Raw genomic sequence first — 18,327 nt, forward strand, 5'->3', positions numbered from 1 at the left:
ATCATAGTGTGAGTTGAAGTTACCAGTAGTGGCTACAGAAAGGTTGATTTGGCTTGTTTCCATTTCCTGTGGGGAACCACCCTTTAGGGCGCCCTACTGTGTGAGTTCCTCGGTGACATTTTTCTTAAGGGATCATGCAGCATCTGGCAGCGATGTTTCTGGCTTCTTGATTCTTGGCTCTTCTTTTTGCTCCATCTAAATTTCTGGGGCTGCGTTTTTGGTGTCTTTTCCCTGAGTATGTCCCCACTATCATGTATGTAAGCCCCTTAGGTCCTCAGAAGAAGGAAGGGAGAGGGAGCAGATGCATGGCCCAAATATGGAGTTAGTCTACACAAGTCTGCTGCACTAATGGCAAGGTGACCTTGGGAAGCCTGTTCATACCTCAAGGCTTCAGTTTCTCCATCTGCAGATGAAAGGAAGGAGACATTAGAATATTCTAGAAATAGTTTATATATATAAACAGATGAAGTTCACTGTTAAAGAAGTATTGCAATCTCTAACTAAAATTACTACTTCCTTTTTAAGTGCTGAATTTTTCTCCACATACCTGCTCACTGTCACCCACTTTGGAGACCTCTGGCCTGGGGCTTGTGAGGAGACTGCAGAATTGACCTTGAACTTTGGGTCTATGGAATTCTATACTCCCTTATCTATTTTCCCACAGTGATTACCTCTCATCTCCTTTCTCTTGCCTGCCTGTTCATACACAGAATTCCCCACAGTTGTGGCTTCAGCCCTCAAAAAGTGTTGGAGATCCAGCCAGAGACATGAGGAGAAAGGTAGTAAGTAGATGAGGGTTTTACAAAGTCCAGGCCTACAAAGTTTTGTTTGAAACAGGGGTCAGACTTAGCTCCCATTCCAGAATTAGAGCCCCTACTCTGACCTGGTCTATCTTAAACCTTAAAAAAAGATAGGTTTAGAGTTTATGTGCTCTTGGCACAGCAGGGAATCTACTTTTGAATAAATACTGTGGGTTTAGACAAATGCTTCTCTCTCAGCGTCTCATATTCAGTCTATCAAAACAAATAGTTTTTCTTTGCTGAAGGCACCGTGTTTTCTCTTGCCTTTGGAACAATGGTATTCTTTCTGCCTAGTCTGTCCCTATCTTCATCTGGCTTACTTATGTTCATCCTGTGGTAGTCACTTCTTGAAGGAGGCCTTCCGTAACCATTCTTAGTCACAGTTGACTAAGCTCCTTTAACTGTGTGCATCCACAAACCTGCTTATAGCCTTTACCATACCACAATGCAGTTGGCTGTTTGGTTGACTTTCTCCCATTGAGCTCCCTAAGTAACAGGGACCTTGTCTTATTCTGCTTTTAGGTTTTTCATACAGAGCTTAGGACTAATGGGTACTCCCTCATTTATTATATAATTGAACATCTGGTATTACCAGATCCCCGTCTAGGTACTGAGTATATAATGGAAAGCAAGGCAGCTGTGGATCATGGAGCTTCCAGTTTATTGGGAGATGTTGAATAGATGGATAAGTGGATGAATCAACCTGCTGAACTTCTGTGTGTCCACTCCTAAGCTAGGTGCTATGTAGGATATAAAGGTAAATGAGAGCACAGTTCCTGCCTATAGAGAAGTCATCATCAGTTGTTTGTGCATGACTGTGATATGAGCTGTGAGTGGAGGAACCTGGACTTCTATGAAACATCCTTTCTCATAGTCATAAAGCTGACTCCCAGGATGACGCTTGTGACCTGCTGGTGTTACCAGGGTCATAGTTGAACAGTCTTATGTTGAGAGGCTGGAGCTTCCCTCTCATGGTATAGCTACAGAATCTGGGCCAAGGATCTCTGGTGATTCCTTTTCCCCTTCGTCTGTCCTATTTTAGAAGTCAGAGGAGTCCAGATTTTCCCACCTGACCTCTCTGCCTCAGCAGCTGCCTTCCCAGCAGCTGATGTCCAAGGATCAGGATGAGCAAGAGGAACTGGATTTTCTGTTTGACGAGGAGATGGAGCAGATGGATGGGCGGAAGAACACCTTCACTGCCTGGTCTGATGAGGAATCTGACTATGAGATTGATGACAGGGATGTCAACAAGATCCTCATTGTCACCCAGACACCACATTACATGCGCCGGCACCCAGGGGGGGACCGCACAGGCAACCACACCTCGCGTGCCAAGATGAGCGCCGAACTGGCCAAGGTCATTAATGATGGCCTCTTCTACTATGAGCAGGACCTGTGGGCTGAAAAGTTTGAACCTGAGTATTCCCAGATCAAGGTGAGGCTTGGACATAGCAGTGAGTGTGGAGCCTGGTGTGCCTGTATTGTACGGAGAAGAGGAAGCCTGATTAGCTGTGCAATTTTAGGCAGGTCCTTATAATTCAGAGTCTCAGGATTTTTATATATGGGAAGGGGATGATGACTGACATCTAGCTTGGGCATTAGGAGTGAGGGGTGATGTGTAAACACTGCAAACTCTTCAGGTGAGGCGGTGGTGATTATTATCCTATCTGCGGATCCATAGTTAATATTCTGACAGTTGGCTAGACACTTTTGTGGGGAACAGAAAAAGGGTTAGATTGTTATTTCTAGTCTTAAATATTTAGGCATCTAAAAATTTAGAAGCCTTTTAAGAAGCTTGTGTTGAGTATGGAAAATGGAGAAAAGATAAGTCTTTTGAAAAATTGCTGCTGCCTGGAAATAGTCAAAACATCTCTGTTGTGGGATTTTAGAGTGGGTATGTTTGGTGGTAGGTTGTCCTAGGGTGAGCCTTTGTAATAAGTAGCAGTGTGTTTCCTGGAAGTAAGGAGGAAGGAGAGTTGCCCAGCCACTGTGTGATAAGGCAGTAGCAGAAAGAGAGATGGGGAAACACTGGAGCTTTCAGGGGGGAGTGTGTAGTGAGTTCCTGAGGAGCTACTGTCAGCCTGATCTCAGTCTTACTACAGGGAGGGCAGGGCAAGCACTGTCTTCTTCTGGGCTAGCACACTTGTGCCAAGGTAACTGGGGTGAGGAATGGTGACTGGGCAGCTGAGAGCCTGGGGACCAGAATTCCACGTATGTCGACGTGGGAGCTGCCCTCTCCAACTTCCTGCCAGTCTTGATTCCTTAAACAGGCTAGAGCAGCCTGCTTACTTACATCTTTCCCCACTCATCTCATGACCTCTGCAGCAAGAAGTCGAGAACTTCAAAAAGGTCAATATGATCAGCCGGGAGCAGTTTGACACACTGACCCCTGAGCCCCCTGTGGATCCCAACCAGGAAGTTCCTCCTGGGCCACCTCGGTTCCAGCAAGGTGAGAAGCAGACACCTGAGATCCTGACATGGGTGAGAGGATCTAGGGCCCTTGGACTGGGGGCTATCCTGGGGTGGATGCCACAGGCCTTTCCCTGCTTCCTGACTCCTCTCTCTGCCTCTGCAGTTCCTACGGATGCCCTGGCCAACAAGTTGTTTGGTGCTCCTGAGCCCTCCACCATCGCCCGCTCTCTACCAACCACTGTCCCAGAGTCACCAAACTACCGCAACACCAGGACCCCTCGCACTCCCCGGACACCACAGCTCAAAGACTCAAGCCAGACATCACGGTTTTACCCAGTGGTGAAAGAAGGACGGACACTGGATGCCAAGGTGAGGCATTCCTGTCGGGCTGCTCAGAGTCTTGGGTCTACTTCATTGCATTCCAGTGCTTTGCTTCTCTCCCTTGCCTTGTCTGAGCTAAGGAAGTGCTAAATCCTTCACCTGCTCTGTGTTCTGAGGCTGGTGGGCTTACCTAGGATTAGGTAGCCACATCTGCAAAATATACTGGGTGTGGGAGTGGTAACCCCATGTTGAAAGGCCTAAGGAGGATTGACCAGGTATGAGTCCTTGGGCAAATCACTGCATTCCCAAACCTTGATTTCTTCACCTGTTTGAAATAGGCATACCAGTTCCTAGCTCACCACTGTGAACTTTATACGAGAATGAATATGAAAATGCTGTTGTAAAATGTGAGAGATCATGCCCATCTTAGTCCTACAAGTGCTTGATGCTCCTCAGAGTTGTAGGAGTACAAACAGTAACAAACCCTGGGCTAACCTTTGCAGATGCCTCGAAAAAGAAAGACAAGACACAGTTCAAACCCACCCTTGGAGAGCCATGTGGGCTGGGTGATGGATTCCCGTGAGCACAGGCCCCGTACTGCTTCCATCAGGTACCTGGGGCAGTGGGGGAAGAGTGATCAGGCTGCCTATGGGATGGGTGGGCGAGCCATGAAATTGACTGGACCAAGAAGATTGGTCTGAAAATTAAAGGGACCCTCATCTAAGAGGTTTTCAAAAAACCAGTGGTGTGGAAAGCTCAGCCCAGGACCTGGGAATGACGGGTAGGCTTTTTTCCTAAAGAAGTGGTGTGGCAGTCACGTGAGACCAGATTTTCATACATGCAGAGAGAAAATCTCTGAATTGGTTTCCAAGCCTGGCTATCTACTTTCTGTCTGAGGAAGAATAGCCAGGTAGTTGAATAAACAGATTTCTGGCAGTCTCTCTGAGCCTACTATGTCTTGGGAGGCTACTTGAAAAGTTTTAAAAATTAAAAAAATACATATTTATTGGCCCCAACCTGTATCTGCTGACCCTGCTTCTTGGGGTAGGGCCCACACTCTTTTTTATTTATTTCAGTAAGATGGCCCCAGTGTGTGTTTCCTGTTTCCCAAAGCAAGCTTTGAGAGCCACCTACCTATGACCAATGCTCTCTACTCCCTGCAGAGATGGCACAGACTGCAAATAGGCATGCTTTTGAAGAAAATATACAATTGATCTTTGAACAACGAAGGGCGTGGGGTGCCCAGCTGCACACAGTTGAAAATCCGTGTATAACTTTTGACTCTCCAAAAGCCTACTGTTAACCAGAAGCCTTACCAATAACATATAGTCAATTAGCACATGTTTTGCATATTATATGTATTACATACTGTATTCTTACAATAAGCTAAATAAAAAATATTACTAAGAAAATCACAAAGAAGGGAACAACAAACACTGGGGCCTACTTGGTGGGGAGAGGGAGGAGAGTGAGGTACAGTTTACCTACTTAACAAACCTGTACACATACCTCTGAACCTAAAATAAAAGTTAAAATCATAAGAGAAAATATTTACTGTTCAGTAAGTGGAAGTAGAATCATCATAAAGGTCTTCATCGTCGTGGTCTTCATGTTTAGCAGGCTGAGAAGGAGGGGTTGGTCTTGCTCTCTCGAGTGGCAAAGGGGAATCATCATAAAGGTCCTCATCCTCATGGTCTTCACATTGAGCAGGCTGAGAAGGAGGGGTTGGTCTTGCTGTCTCAAGAGTGGCAAAGGTGGAAGAAATCTGCGTATAAGTGGACCCACGCGTGGATCCATGCATTTCAAACCCATGTTGTTCAAGGGTTCACTGTAGATGGATTGACCCATGATGGCTCATTAAAAGGTTAAATGCTTAAAGTTAATAAATGGTTAAAAGCTCAAGTTTTATCATTGGACACGTTTCTGCCATTAAATAGTCTTATGACCCTGGATGAGTCTCCTAATCTCTGTAAGCCTCAGTATCCTCTGTAAAACTCTCTGAGAGTTGATGCAGAGTTAATCAGACCCATGGATATAAGTTAAAGGTCCGTAACTGGGCCTCCTTGTTTGATACCCTGTGAGAGGATGGATCTTGGCTGACAGAACGGATCAGAGGGACCCCTCCTGACATGGTGGGGCTGCTGTGGGGAACCTGGTGACAGTATTTTTTGTGGTTTCTGTAGCTCCAGCCCCTCAGAAGGGACGCCTACAGTTGGCAGCTATGGCTGTACCCCTCAGTCATTGCCCAAGTTCCAGCATCCTTCCCATGAACTGCTCAAGGAAAATGGCTTCACACAACACGTCTACCATAAGTATCGTAGGCGCTGCCTTAATGGTAAGAAGTGTGGGGGGCAGGAGATGAGCCTCTGGGCCCGTTATTTAGACCCAGAGTATAAGAGTTGGGGGATACGGGGATAGGTGACTCTTTTCTCTGACTTCAGAGCAAAAAAAAGACATGACATTATAGCAAGAAAGACTGAAGTTAGACTCGGGCCAGGTAGTTTTAAACTGTAGGAAGCTAGGGGGATATGGCACTCACAACGTTCGTGTTCTTTGATCTTCCTCTATTGATTATTAAAGCTGTCAATTAAGTATTTCCATATCTCTGGCAAGATTACTGACTCAGCCATTGTCAGGTCTAGTCCACTGTCCATCACAAAAGGGTATGTAAGAGGTGACATATGCTCTCTAGAACAAAGGTTGCCAAACTGGCCTGTGAGTCAAATCCAGCCAGTATTCTGTTTTCGTATGGCTTTGGAGCTAAGGACAGTTTTTACATTTTTAAGGGGTTGTAAGAAAAAAAGATTTGTGACAGAGACTATATGTCTTCTGTAAAGCCTGAAATATTTGTTCTCTGTCCCTTTACAAAAGTAGTTTGCTGATCCCCTCTCTAGATGATAGTGTAAGGAACGAGCCTGTCTAGATGCTCTTGTCTGTCCCTGCTCTTTTAGTATTCTGATAGGTTGGCTGTAAAGACGCGCAAAACCAATCTAGTCACCTGTAGTTATTAACTCATTCATCCTCTTTCATTCAACAAAACGTGGTTGCTAAATTCTTGATTCATCCACTTCACTTCTCTCTTTCTTACTCTATGTGTAATAACAGCTTTATTGGGATATAATCTACATATGATGGAACATACCTAAAGAATACAATGTAATAGCTCTAAGTGTACTCATATAGTTGTGTGCCCATCACCAGAATCAATTTTAGAACATTTTCATTACCCCCAAAATGCTATGCCCCTTACCAGTCATACTCATTATACATGCAAACTACTCCCCACCCCCAGAATCCTCCCAGCCCTATGAAACTACTAACCTACTTTCTGCCTCTAAGGATTTTGCCTATTCTGGACATTTCACATAAATTATACTGTATGTGGTCCTTTGTTACTGGCCTCTTCCCCTTAGTATATTTGGTATACTAACAAATACACAGCAAGGTTCATGTCATAGCATGCATCAGTACTTTATTCTTTTTATTGCCAAATCATATTCCATCGTATGGATGTATCACATTTTGTGTATCCATTCATCAGTTGATTGGCATTTGGGTTGTTTCTACTTTTTGTCTATTGTGAATGATGCTACTGGGCATATTCACATACAGGTTTCCTGTAGACGTAGTTTCTCCTTTATTTTGGTTAGAAGAGTAGTATTGCTGGGTCATGGGGTAACCATGTTTAACCCTTTGACAAAATTAAACTCTGTTTTCCAAAGTGGAAATTTTGGAATTTTATATTGAAATATAAAATTTTCGTTTTATATTTCTAAAAGCAATATGTGAGTCTTCTGGTTTTTCACATCCTTCCAACACTTGTTATTGTTTGTCTATTTTTCTTTATTTTTATTATTTAACATTTATTTTTGAGACAGCGTTTTACTCTGTCACCCAGGCAGGAATGCAGTGACTTAATTATAGCCCACTGCAGTCTCGAACTATTGGGCTCAAGCAATCCTCCTGCCTCAGCCTCCTGAGTAGCTGGGACTACAGGCATGCTCCACCATACCAATCTAATTACTAAAAGTTTTCTGTAGAGACAGGGGTCTCACTATGTTGACCATGGTGGTCTTGAACTCCTGGCCTTAAGCAGTCCTCCCTCCTCAGCCTCACAAAGTGCTGGAATTACAGACGTGAGCAACCTTGCCCAGCCAAGATGCTTTTTTAACTGGATTGTTTTTCTAGTTATTAAGTTGTAGGAATTCCTTTATCAAATACGTGATTTGCAAATATTTTCTCTGATTCTATGGGTTATCTTTTCACTTTTTTGATGCACAAAATTTTTTTGTTTTAATGATATTCATTTTCTCTTGTTTTGTTGCTTGTGCTTTTGGTGTTGTGCATTTTTTGATATTACTGTTTTGTACTTGTGACTATTGTAGGACTCTTGAGGTAAATATTGGTAATGAGCTAAATACAGTTTGTTAGAATTTACAAACAATTTGTTCATGCCTTGTCTTGTCTCGACGGCACTTGAAAGTAGTACCAGTTGAGGTGAAGAGCTAGACTGCCAGCCTGGTTCAGAAGCTGCTGCCACCTGCTCCTGGAAAAGTACAGGCCCAGCTCCCAGCATCAGGGCCTGGGGCAGAGTGGTTAGTGCTCAATAGATATCTGCTGAATGACTGAGTGGCAGATGATGAGTGAGGGGATTTGGAAGTACATGAGAAAGGACCAAGTCTTAAGTTCCAGGATCCTTTCTCCCTGAAGCAAGGGCAGCCTGAACCTGAGACATGCCTTTCCTCCTTTCTTTCCCATCAGAGCGGAAACGCTTGGGCATTGGCCAGTCTCAGGAGATGAACACACTCTTCCGCTTCTGGTCCTTCTTCCTCCGAGATCACTTCAACAAAAAGATGTATGAGGAGTTCAAGCAGCTGGCTCTGGAGGACGCCAAAGAAGGCTACAGGTGAGCAGGTTTGGGTGGGGGACTTTGGCTGGTGCTTAGGGATGATGTGGGATCCCTAGTTGGTCTGCTTCCAGAACTGTAGTTGGAAATTCCTTGCATGTGTATGTTCATTCATATACTTGATGAAAAATTTGTTTTTAAATGAGCAGTATATTCACATGGTTCAAATTTCAAACATTTTAAAAGGTTGTATAATGAAGAGTTGTCTTATCCCTGTCCCCCACCCATCTGGTGTCTTTCCCCACAGGCAACCAGTATTAGAATCTTGTGGGTCCTTTATAAAGGACCCTATGTAAGTAAGTAGACATCTGTGTAGTCTTCCATGCCACTACCACTCCTTTTGTTTACGCAAAAGCTGGCCTACGTTATAATATTTTTTGCACCTTGCATTTGTTTTTGTTTAATACTATATTTTGGAGATCATTCTATATCTGTACATAATTAACTTTGTTGTTCTTTTTTTATGGGCTGTAACATGGTCTTATATGGATGTACCATGATTTATTTAGTCCATCTCCTATTAGTGGATACTTAGGTTGTTTCCAATATTTTGCTATTAAAAAAACCTTGAGTCCTTTTTTCCTGGCTGGGTGGCTCACGCCTATAATCCCAGCGCTTCGGGAGGTCAAGGCAGAAGGATCACTTGAGCCCAGGAGTTCGAGACCAGCCTGGGCTCAAGCGATCGTTCTGCCATAGTAAGACCCTGTTTCTATTAAAAAAAAAAAAAAGACCTCCCCACACCCCCACCCCCTCCCCAATTTTCAATGTAAAATGTGCTCTCTGTAAACTACATGAAAAAAGACAAGTTTGGAAAAGCTGATGAAAACATCCATCATTCCAGAGACAGCAAGTGTTCTTCTGCCATCAAGCTTCCTAGTTTCTTCTTGGCATATTTAATGTATTTAGCTCATCCTATGAAGTTTGTGCTCTTCCAGACTTTGTATGCATGTGTAGTTGTAAAATTTACATACTTGTTTACAAAAATGGACTCATGGGCTCATTCTACGTCTAACATGTTTGAACATGTCTTTTCCATTTGATAATGTATTATTGTAAGCATTCTTCAGTATCCTTAAGTATACATTTATACTATTTCTTTTTTTTTTTTTTTTTTGAGGTGGAGTCTCGCTCTGTCGCCCAGGCTGGAGTGCAGTGGTGCGATCTTGCCTCACTGCAACCTCCACCTCCACCTCCCGGGTTCACGCCATTCTCCTGCCTCAGCCTACCGAGTAGCTGGGACCACAGGCGCCTGCCACCACGCCTGGCTAATTTTTTTTGTATTTTTAGTAGAGACGAGGTTTCGCTGTGTTAGCCAGGATGGTCTCGATCTCCTGACCTTGTGATCCGCCTGTCTCAGCCTCCCAAAGTGCTGGGATTACTTTGTGAGCCACCGCGCCCTGCCTTACTATTAATTTCTAATAGCTTATATTACTCCATTGTATAGATTTGCCATGATTTTTCTTAATTGCATCTCTATTCGTTGACATTTGTATTTTGCTTAATTAATGCTGCTGTAAACAGTTTGGTACATCTGTTAAGATCTAAATCTGGACTGGGTGCTGTGGCTCACACCTGTAATCCCAGCACTTTGGGAGTGCGAGGCAGGCAGATCACTTGAGGTCAGGAGTTTGGGACCAGCCTGGCCAACATGGTGAAGCCCCGTCTCTACTAAAAATACACAAATTAGCTGGGTGTGGTGGCACATGCCTGTAGTTCCAGCTACACGGGAGGCTGAGCTAGGAGAATGGCTTGAACCCAGGAGGCAGAGGTTGCAGTGAGCCAAGATCGTGCCACTGCACTCCAGCCTGGGTGACTGAGCGAGACTCTGTCTCAAAAAAAAGAAAAAAAAAAGATCTAAATCTATTGGCATGTGTTTGTTTTTGTTTTGTTTTATTTTATTTTGGAGACGAGTCTCACTGTGTCACCTAGGCTGGAGTGCAGTGGCGCAATCTCGGCTCACTGCAACCTCCACCTCCCAGGTTCAAGCGATTCTTCTGCCTCAGCCTCCCGAGTAGCTGAGATTACAGGCACCCACCACCACACCTGGCTAATTTTTGTATTTTGGTAGAGATGGGGTTTCACCATGTTGGCCAGGCTGGTCTTGAACTCCGGACCTCAAGTGATCTGCGTGCCTTGGCCTCCCAAAGTGCTTGCATTATAGACATGAGCCACAGCGCCTGGCCGCATGTGTTCCTTGAAGTGAAATTTCTGAGTCAGATAAATGAACAAACCTACTAATTGGCATGGTCAAATGGCTTTGCAGAGTTATACCAGGGATTGGCCAACTTTTTCTAGAAAGAGTCAGTAAATACTTTAGGCTTTGTTGGCCATAAGGTGTTTGTCGTAATTACTCAACTCCGTTCACTCTGTTATTGTAGCAGAAAGCAACCATAGATACTTCATAAAAGAATAGGAGTAAACAAATGTCTGTGGCAGGGGGACAGAGTTCCTTGACTGCAGGAAATCTCTGAACATTTTATGCTGGACCCACTTAGACTAGCATTCTAAAAGCGTGTATGCTGTTTTTTCAATACAGAAATAACATGTAGTTTAAACTGTTTCATAGTTCCTCTGTTATGCAGGCACATTTCCCGTTTTACAGATGAAGAAACTGCCCTGATTTCACTGACTTGTGTTCTACAGATATGGTTTGGAGTGCCTTTTTCGATACTACAGTTATGGCCTGGAAAAGAAGTTCCGGCTGGACATATTCAAGGATTTTCAGGAGGAAACGGTGAAGGACTATGAAGCTGGTAAGAGCCAGAGTTGGATCTGAGTGAGGCCTGGTCATGTAGGCCTCCTCTTCCCCAGTTGGACCTGGGTCTTTCTGTGTATTACACAACACCTCCCTCTCTCCTCTGAGCTTCTTTATCCTCACCAGCTCAGCTTTTCTGTACCTCTCCCTACAGGCCAACTGTATGGGCTGGAGAAGTTCTGGGCCTTCTTGAAATATTCCAAAGCCAAAAATTTGGACATTGACCCCAAACTGCAAGAATACCTCGGCAAATTCCGACGTCTTGAAGACTTCCGAGTAGATGTAAGTGAAACTCTTTCTCTAACTCTGCTTGTCCTGGAAAGAAAACTGGACCAGGAATCAGGATACTTGGATTCTGGTCCAGCTGTGCCCCTAGCCCAGGAACCCCTCTCCCTGCTCCCCACAATTTGGGCTTTGCTTTTTCACCTTTAAAATGGAGAGTGAGTGGCCAATGAAGGCTAGTTGGAGATAGTTGTATGGTTGCTCCTGCTTACCCTTTCTGTGGTACCATCATAATGCTCTTTCTCTCCTATCTCACCATCCTCCTTGCTACTGTGCCCAAGTTAGCCACTACTAGTTGATCAGGATGGGTATCCAAGATACACACATTTGTTCTTTCTGGAAAAAGCCAATTCCAACCCCAGTTTATAAATTAATGCCCAGGTCTCTTATGTTCTTGGAGCAGCGCCTCAACGGTGACATCCAGTGGCAGGGCTGGGTTATTACTGCTGGGTATATCAAGGGAAGTTGGAGTGATTTAATTGATTCAGCAGATACTGATTGGATGTCTCTGTGCTCGGTGCTTTAGAGATAAGGGAAAGAGGCTCAGTTTTTCCTTCTGAGAGTTTATAATGTAGTAGAGATGTCTCTTTGTCTTATTCCCTTCAAACCTTTTAGCAAAAAGGCAAATGCAAGTAAATGACAATTAGACTAGCCCTTAACATTTTGTATTAGTCTCTTCTCACTCTGCTAATAAAGACATACCTGAGACTGGGTAATTTATAAAGGAAAGAGGTTTAATTGACTCACAGTTCTGCATGGCCAGGGAGGCCTCAGGAAACTTAAAATCTTGGCAGAAGGGGAAGCAAATACATCCTTCTTCACATGGTGGCAGCAAGGAGAAGTGCAGAGTGAAGGGAAGTAAAAGCCCCCCCCCCCCACCCCCCCTTTTTTTTTTTGGAGACAGAGTCTTGCTCTGTCACCCAGGCTAGAGTGCAGTGGCACGATCTTGGCTCACTGCAACCTCCGCCTCCCGGGTTTAAGTGATTCTCCTGCATTAGCCTCCTGAGTAGCTGAGATTATAGGTGCGCACCACCACGCCTGGCTAATTTTTGTATTTTTAGTAGAGATGGGGTTTCACCATGTTGGCCAGGCAGGTCTCAAACTCCTGACCTTGTGATCCACCTGCTTGGCCTCCCAAAGTGCTGGGAGTACAGGCATGAGCCACCGCGCCCGGCCCAAAAGCCCCTTATAAGACCGTCAGATCTTGTGAGAACTCACTCACTATCACGAGAACAAGATGGGGGAAACTGCCCCCATGATGCAATTATCTCCACCTGGTCCCTCCCGCGACATGTGGGGATTATGGGAACTACAATTCAAGATCGAGATTTGGGTGGAGACACAGCCAAATCATCACATTTATTATTTTAAAACTGCCATTTATTAAGTGTTTATTATGTGCCAGGTACTTTACATTGACCTTATTTAACCCTTATGTGGTGACGCAGACAGGACTTATTAGGTTAACTGAGGTTCGTGGCCATCCAGTGACATAATGGCAGAGCCACTCAGGTCTCTCAATATAAACACAAATCTGTTTTCTTTTATTCTTAAGCATTTCCACCCTTGAGGAGGAGAAGGGAGGGGAGCAGGGTACAAGTCACAGAGAACCTTTGTGATAAGTAGACCTATTAGGGTGGAACAAGGACTCAGTTTTGGTTCCCAAAATGGGAAGGAAACGTCTGTCTTCGGGGTTATAAGACCTTTGTTAGTGGTAAGGCCAGTCTGGAGCATGGTCTGAGTCTTAGTTCAGGATCCTCTGGACCTTGAAGAGAATGAGGTGATCCCCAGAAGGATCTGGGCCTTCTGAGCTGAGACGTCGCAGCATACTGCATGCCACATTCCACATTTCTGAGCAAGAGATCCCTTCTTGGAAGGGAAGCAGAAATGAGGTTGGATAAAAGCCTGGCCTTTTGGGGCAGGTAGACCTAAATTTTGTCTTTATCGGTTACCAGCTATGAGACCCTGGGGAAGTTACTTTTTTGTGCTTCAGTTTCCTCATCTATAAAATCAGATGTCCATGGGTCCACATCAAAGGGTGATGCTGACCCCATGAGAGAGTGTGCATAAAACAGCACAAGGCTTGGCATGAAGAAACGCTTAATAACTTATAATTTATTTTTAAGGTTAAACCCATTCATTTTCTATATTTGGAGGTAGAAAGTAGGAAGTGTCTAGACGGGCCTGGCAAGGAAGAGGGCGTAGATAGTGCTTCTGATCACCTGTGACTCCTTCCTCTGTTGCAGCCCCCCATGGGTGAGGAGGGCAACCACAAGCGACACTCAGTGGTAGCAGGAGGTGGCGGCGGTGAGGGCAGGAAGCGGTGCCCCTCCCAGTCTTCCAGCAGGCCTGCTGCCATGATCAGCCAACCCCCTACACCACCCACCGGCCAGCCTGTCCGGGAAGATGCCAAATGGACAAGCCAGCACTCGAACACACAGACTTTGGGAAAGTGAAAAGCTCCTTAGCCCTGGGGCTTGAGGGGGGAAAGGGGTAGGGTGGGTAAGAGTCCATGGGGGTGCCCAGTCCCAGGAAAGGGGACAATGAAGGGACAGGCCTGGAGTTACTAGGACAGGCCTTTGTGCTGAGTAGCAATGTATACACCATTTGGGCTATCAGAGGTACCCCTGGGCAGGAGCCTCTACATCCCCTTCCCCCTCCTCTCTCCATGACTCTTGACATCCTAGCTTCTTCTAAGGGGGGAGGGAAAGGGGGGAGATTTTTATATATATATACATATATATATATCAAGTTTTAAATTATTGATAGTTCATCTGGATTACCAAAATCACTCTGCAGCCCTGCCCGAGGCTAGTAGGCTGCAACCCTGGTCCCCACCCCTAACCTCCTGCTCCCCCTCAAGCCAACTATGCAGCCCACAAGAAGGCCCTGCGGGCCCCCCCATTGCCCAGCACTGTCTCATAGAAGGCTCTGGTGGTACCTCTGGGCCCCAGGAGCATCAGCCCCTTGATCATCTGGGGTTTGTCATCACCATATTTTCTCCCTGCTGTTCCCACCATGCCCTTCTGCCATCTTCTGGGAGAAGGAAACCAAAGGATCTAAAACTGGGGTTTGGGGGAAGGTTTCAGCCTCTCCCCACTCCCCTTGCCCCACACCCTTTACTCCCCAGCCCAGAGAGACGCTGCTTTTACCAGGAAAGACTATTGAAAGATGTTTTATTTTATTTTTCTCTGACCTTTCCATCCTTGAAAAAATGGGGAAAAAAGAAGAAAAAAGACAAAATCGACCATAAAAGACCAAAAAAAAAAAAAAAATCAGAAAACCCCCACCTAATCCACAGAAAGTAATGTCTTTCCCCTCCCCTTGGAATTTTTGTTTTGTTTTTGGAAATAATATTTTTTTAAAAGTTGCCTTATTGTGGAGCGGGAATCTGAAATACCCAAATGCCTGTTTTCCTCGGTGGAGTCAACCCGAAGAGCTCCCACCTTCTCTGGATGTGCCTGGGCTTGGACTGGCTAGAATCTTTCTCTGGACTGTTGCATGTACAGTGCCTCCATCCTGGAGGCAAGAGAGTTGGGAGTGGCTCGAATCAGAGCCGTGCCCAAGATATCCCTGCTGTTGCATCGTTTGAAGCTGACGTCCTGTGTCTGTACACTGCTGCCACTGTTGTGTCCTCGCTCTGCTTGCTGTTGCCTCACGCCAGGCCCCGTCCTGCCGTGACACCCTTCATCCTACCCTTGGAACCCCAAGGCCAAGTTGGTTCAAACTGTTGGAGAACAGAGTTGGCCTGCATCTGGAACACACTTGTCCTCAGCTTACCATCTCCTCACACCCCAGAGTGGAAAGGTGAACACCTGCAGCTGAGGCTTGGAAACGTTTCTTGTGTTGCCCTGAAAAATCTTTGAGACCTCAGGGAGGCTCTGTCTCTCTTAAAAGGTGGAGAAAGATGCCATTCTCTCCCTAAGGTCTGGTGGAGTCTCCCCATCTTGCATACCCTTCTGCAAGCCATCTATCTCTGCTCACTCTCCAATTGACCCGCCTGGGAACAAGGGATGAGGAGGAGTTGGGGGCTGGGGGGAATCCTGCCAGTTGGTGAAGCCCTGTGGCAGGAAGGTATATGTGGACATAGAGTATACCTGATTCTCTTTCTTCAGCCACTGACTGCTTGGGTTGGGCTGTGAATGATAATGGAATGGCTGGAGTCTGCTGTTGTCAGAAGGCAGGGAGGGTGATGAAGGACTGACCCACATGGACTGGGATGTGTGTCGGTTATGGGCATGACTGCACGTTCACTCTCAGTGGGATCTGGGCAACATGGAGTTCATTGTCCTGTTGCTTACTTACTGCAATGTCTTTGGCCCTCCTTTTCAACTGGTTCCTCTGTTGGGCCCAAAGGTTGGGAGTAGGAGACAGTATCCCAGGCTGACAAGGGCTTGCCCTTTACCTTGGGCACCTTGTTAATTTTTAGCCTGTGCCCTTCCCCACCTTTGCCCTCCCAGTGGTTGGTATGTGGGAAGCCCATCTCAGTTCCTGTGACTTCATGTCTCAAACCAAGGATGAGCGTCTGGTCTCTGCTATGATGGTGGTATCCGAGGCCTTTCCCTGCCCAGTCTGGTGCCTGCCCCACATTGTACCGGACACTGGATTCCTGGACCCCCTTCTCCTTTCCTTTCTTTCCTTCAGGTCACGCAGCCCTGTACTGTATCCAGCACCACAGAAACCTCAGTGTTTTTCCTCTGCTGGTTTGGGGCACAAGGAAGCCTTAGGGTATGGGGAAAGGCTGTTATTACCTAGAGTTTACTCCCAGGCCAGGGGGCTGCCATCTTCTTCACAGACATCCCTGAAAGGAAGCCCCTTTGGGGCAGGGAGGTGAGGACTTCATCTCAACATCGGCTGGTGGTTGGTAGGGGAGCTTTTTCTTTTCTTTCCTTTTTTTTTGTTTTTGTTTTTGTTTTTGTTTTTGGTAACATGTTAGGAGTTAATGTTGCAAAGAGTAGTTTACATCTTCACTTTCTGAAGACACTTGAATTTAGGACCGATGTATCTGTGACAAGCATGCCAGAAGTGGCAGGGGCCATCAGGGCTAACCACTTCACACCTACCATCGTCCCATGGGGATCCAAGACCTGAGATAAAGCAACAGCCTGCCCAGATCCCTCTGTTCATCCTATCCCTTCCAAGGTTGGTCCATGCCAACATAACCTCTGGGCATCAGACATCAGCAGGTCTGTGTGCCTCAGCCCTGTTAAGGGGCAGGTTTCTCTTTAGCCCTCTTCCTGCACTTGGGAGCAAAGGCACTACCAGTAGAGAAGGGCCATCCAGCCGTGCCCCAGCCTGGACCCCTGGGGCTCAGATAGAGGTGCTGAGCCCCTGTGTCAAAGTTGTTAAATGTTTTTGTTTTGTTCCATTGTAGCTCTTTTTTTTTTTTTTTCCCCTTTCCTGGTGATTGATTTTACAAAAGAAAGTAAGCTGCTTAGAAGGCCCTGGAAGGGAAGTGAGGAGGAGGGACAAGGAAGATGACTAGTTACGGAGGGTGAGGGTTGTTTTTTGCCAAAAAGCCTGGGTAGAGTGATCTGAATTATCTGGCACCCTCCTGAATGGAACCCCAGAGTACCTCCTGTGTGGAAGGGTCCCTGGATTTTCCCTAACACCCACCCTCTCCCCCTTCAGCCATGCTGATGGCAGAGAAGATAAGAACTTGGAGCCCATTTCTCACTGGAGAGGAAAACTTGTCATCTGGCTTTGCGGAGAAGGTTCCACCTTACGCTCGTAGTACATTATCTTTACTATGTGCTAGGATATCATATTTAAAAGGACAAAAAAATGTAAAATACTTGAATGAGCTTGTATTATAACATTAATATTATTGAGAGTATCTGCTTTCCAGGCTGAAGTGATTCATTCATTATTCTAGTCCTGCTTTAGTCCTTTGTAATTTGTGGTAATTATGCTTTTCTTTTTAATACAAAAAAATGTATAAAAATAAACACTTGAAAAGGCAAAATACTGGCTGGTCTTCCATCTAGGTTACTGCTATTGGGTGTGAAGGATGGGTTTCTGGTAGAGTTCCCCCAGATCCGGAGGAACCCTGCACTCAATGTGCACATGAAACCTCGGCAGGGGTTCTGCCATTGGGCTTCGAGGAGTCTGCCTAAGGCAGGGGCTTCTACAAGCCTTGAGTTCATGTCCACCCTGTGTCTTAAGTGAGACGTGACAGTCATAGCCAGTGCCACAAAACAGCAGTCCAGCATAATGCCAGGATTTCAGCGCACTTGTCAGCTTCCAGGTTTTCCATCCCCTGGCTGTGGCCTGCATTGTGTTATGAGACAGCCAAGAAGAAAAACGATGAGGCTTCTTATGGAGGGTTGCCACAACCCCTCTATGAACAGACTTTTCCACAGGGGGGTGAAGGAGGAATGATCCAGCACCATGTGGACTTACGGAATCCTGGTCAGCCCCGAACCCTGAGATGTGATGCTGGGGAGGGATGGAACAAAGAGTCCCCCATTCCCCGTATAAATTACAAAACTAAAAATGGGGCATGGCCTTATTTACGTGTTCATCTGACAACTGTCTCCCATACCTGGCTTGGGTAAATGGTTTTTCCAGAGAGTGCTTTTTCACTGTTCTTGAGGTTGGCAGGTACTTCAGTACCACCAGTGACCTCCACAGGCCAAAGGAAAGTTTAGGAGATAGTGTCCAGGGCTGATGCAGACGGATTGGTACTTTGAAAACAGAAAGATGAATTAATTGAAACTTACTTTCACAAATTATCGTTAGGAATGCTCACAGCAGCTTAATTTCACAGCCTGAGCTTCCAAATGCTATGTCTGAAGTATTAGAAGTCTTGTAGTAGACACCTCCCTTCAAAAAAAAATTATCCACTGGAA

General features: G+C 45.6%; 1 protein-coding gene across 19 annotated transcripts in view; it reads left to right on the top strand.

Moving 5' to 3' along the window:
* Positions 1 to 17,441, top strand: part of LARP1 (La ribonucleoprotein 1, translational regulator) — a 134,627-nt gene extending 117,186 nt beyond the window's left edge. For all 19 annotated transcript variants that reach the window (XM_047417041.1, NM_001367714.1, NM_001367713.1 and 16 more), the window contains 9 exons: positions 1,843 to 2,235; positions 3,126 to 3,249; positions 3,376 to 3,581; positions 4,037 to 4,143; positions 5,717 to 5,868; positions 8,295 to 8,439; positions 11,083 to 11,192; positions 11,349 to 11,476; positions 13,723 to 17,441. In XM_047417041.1, the coding sequence (XP_047272997.1) occupies positions 1,843 to 2,235; positions 3,126 to 3,249; positions 3,376 to 3,581; positions 4,037 to 4,143; positions 5,717 to 5,868; positions 8,295 to 8,439; positions 11,083 to 11,192; positions 11,349 to 11,476; positions 13,723 to 13,932 (1,575 nt within the window). In that variant the 3' untranslated portion in view covers positions 13,933 to 17,441. The remainder of the gene's footprint in view (positions 1 to 1,842; positions 2,236 to 3,125; positions 3,250 to 3,375; positions 3,582 to 4,036; positions 4,144 to 5,716; positions 5,869 to 8,294; positions 8,440 to 11,082; positions 11,193 to 11,348; positions 11,477 to 13,722) is intronic.
* The last annotated feature ends 886 nt before the right edge of the window (positions 17,442 to 18,327 follow it).

This window comes from Homo sapiens, chromosome 5 (assembly GCF_000001405.40).
Source record: "Homo sapiens chromosome 5, GRCh38.p14 Primary Assembly".
Lineage (NCBI taxonomy): Eukaryota > Metazoa > Chordata > Mammalia > Primates > Hominidae > Homo > Homo sapiens.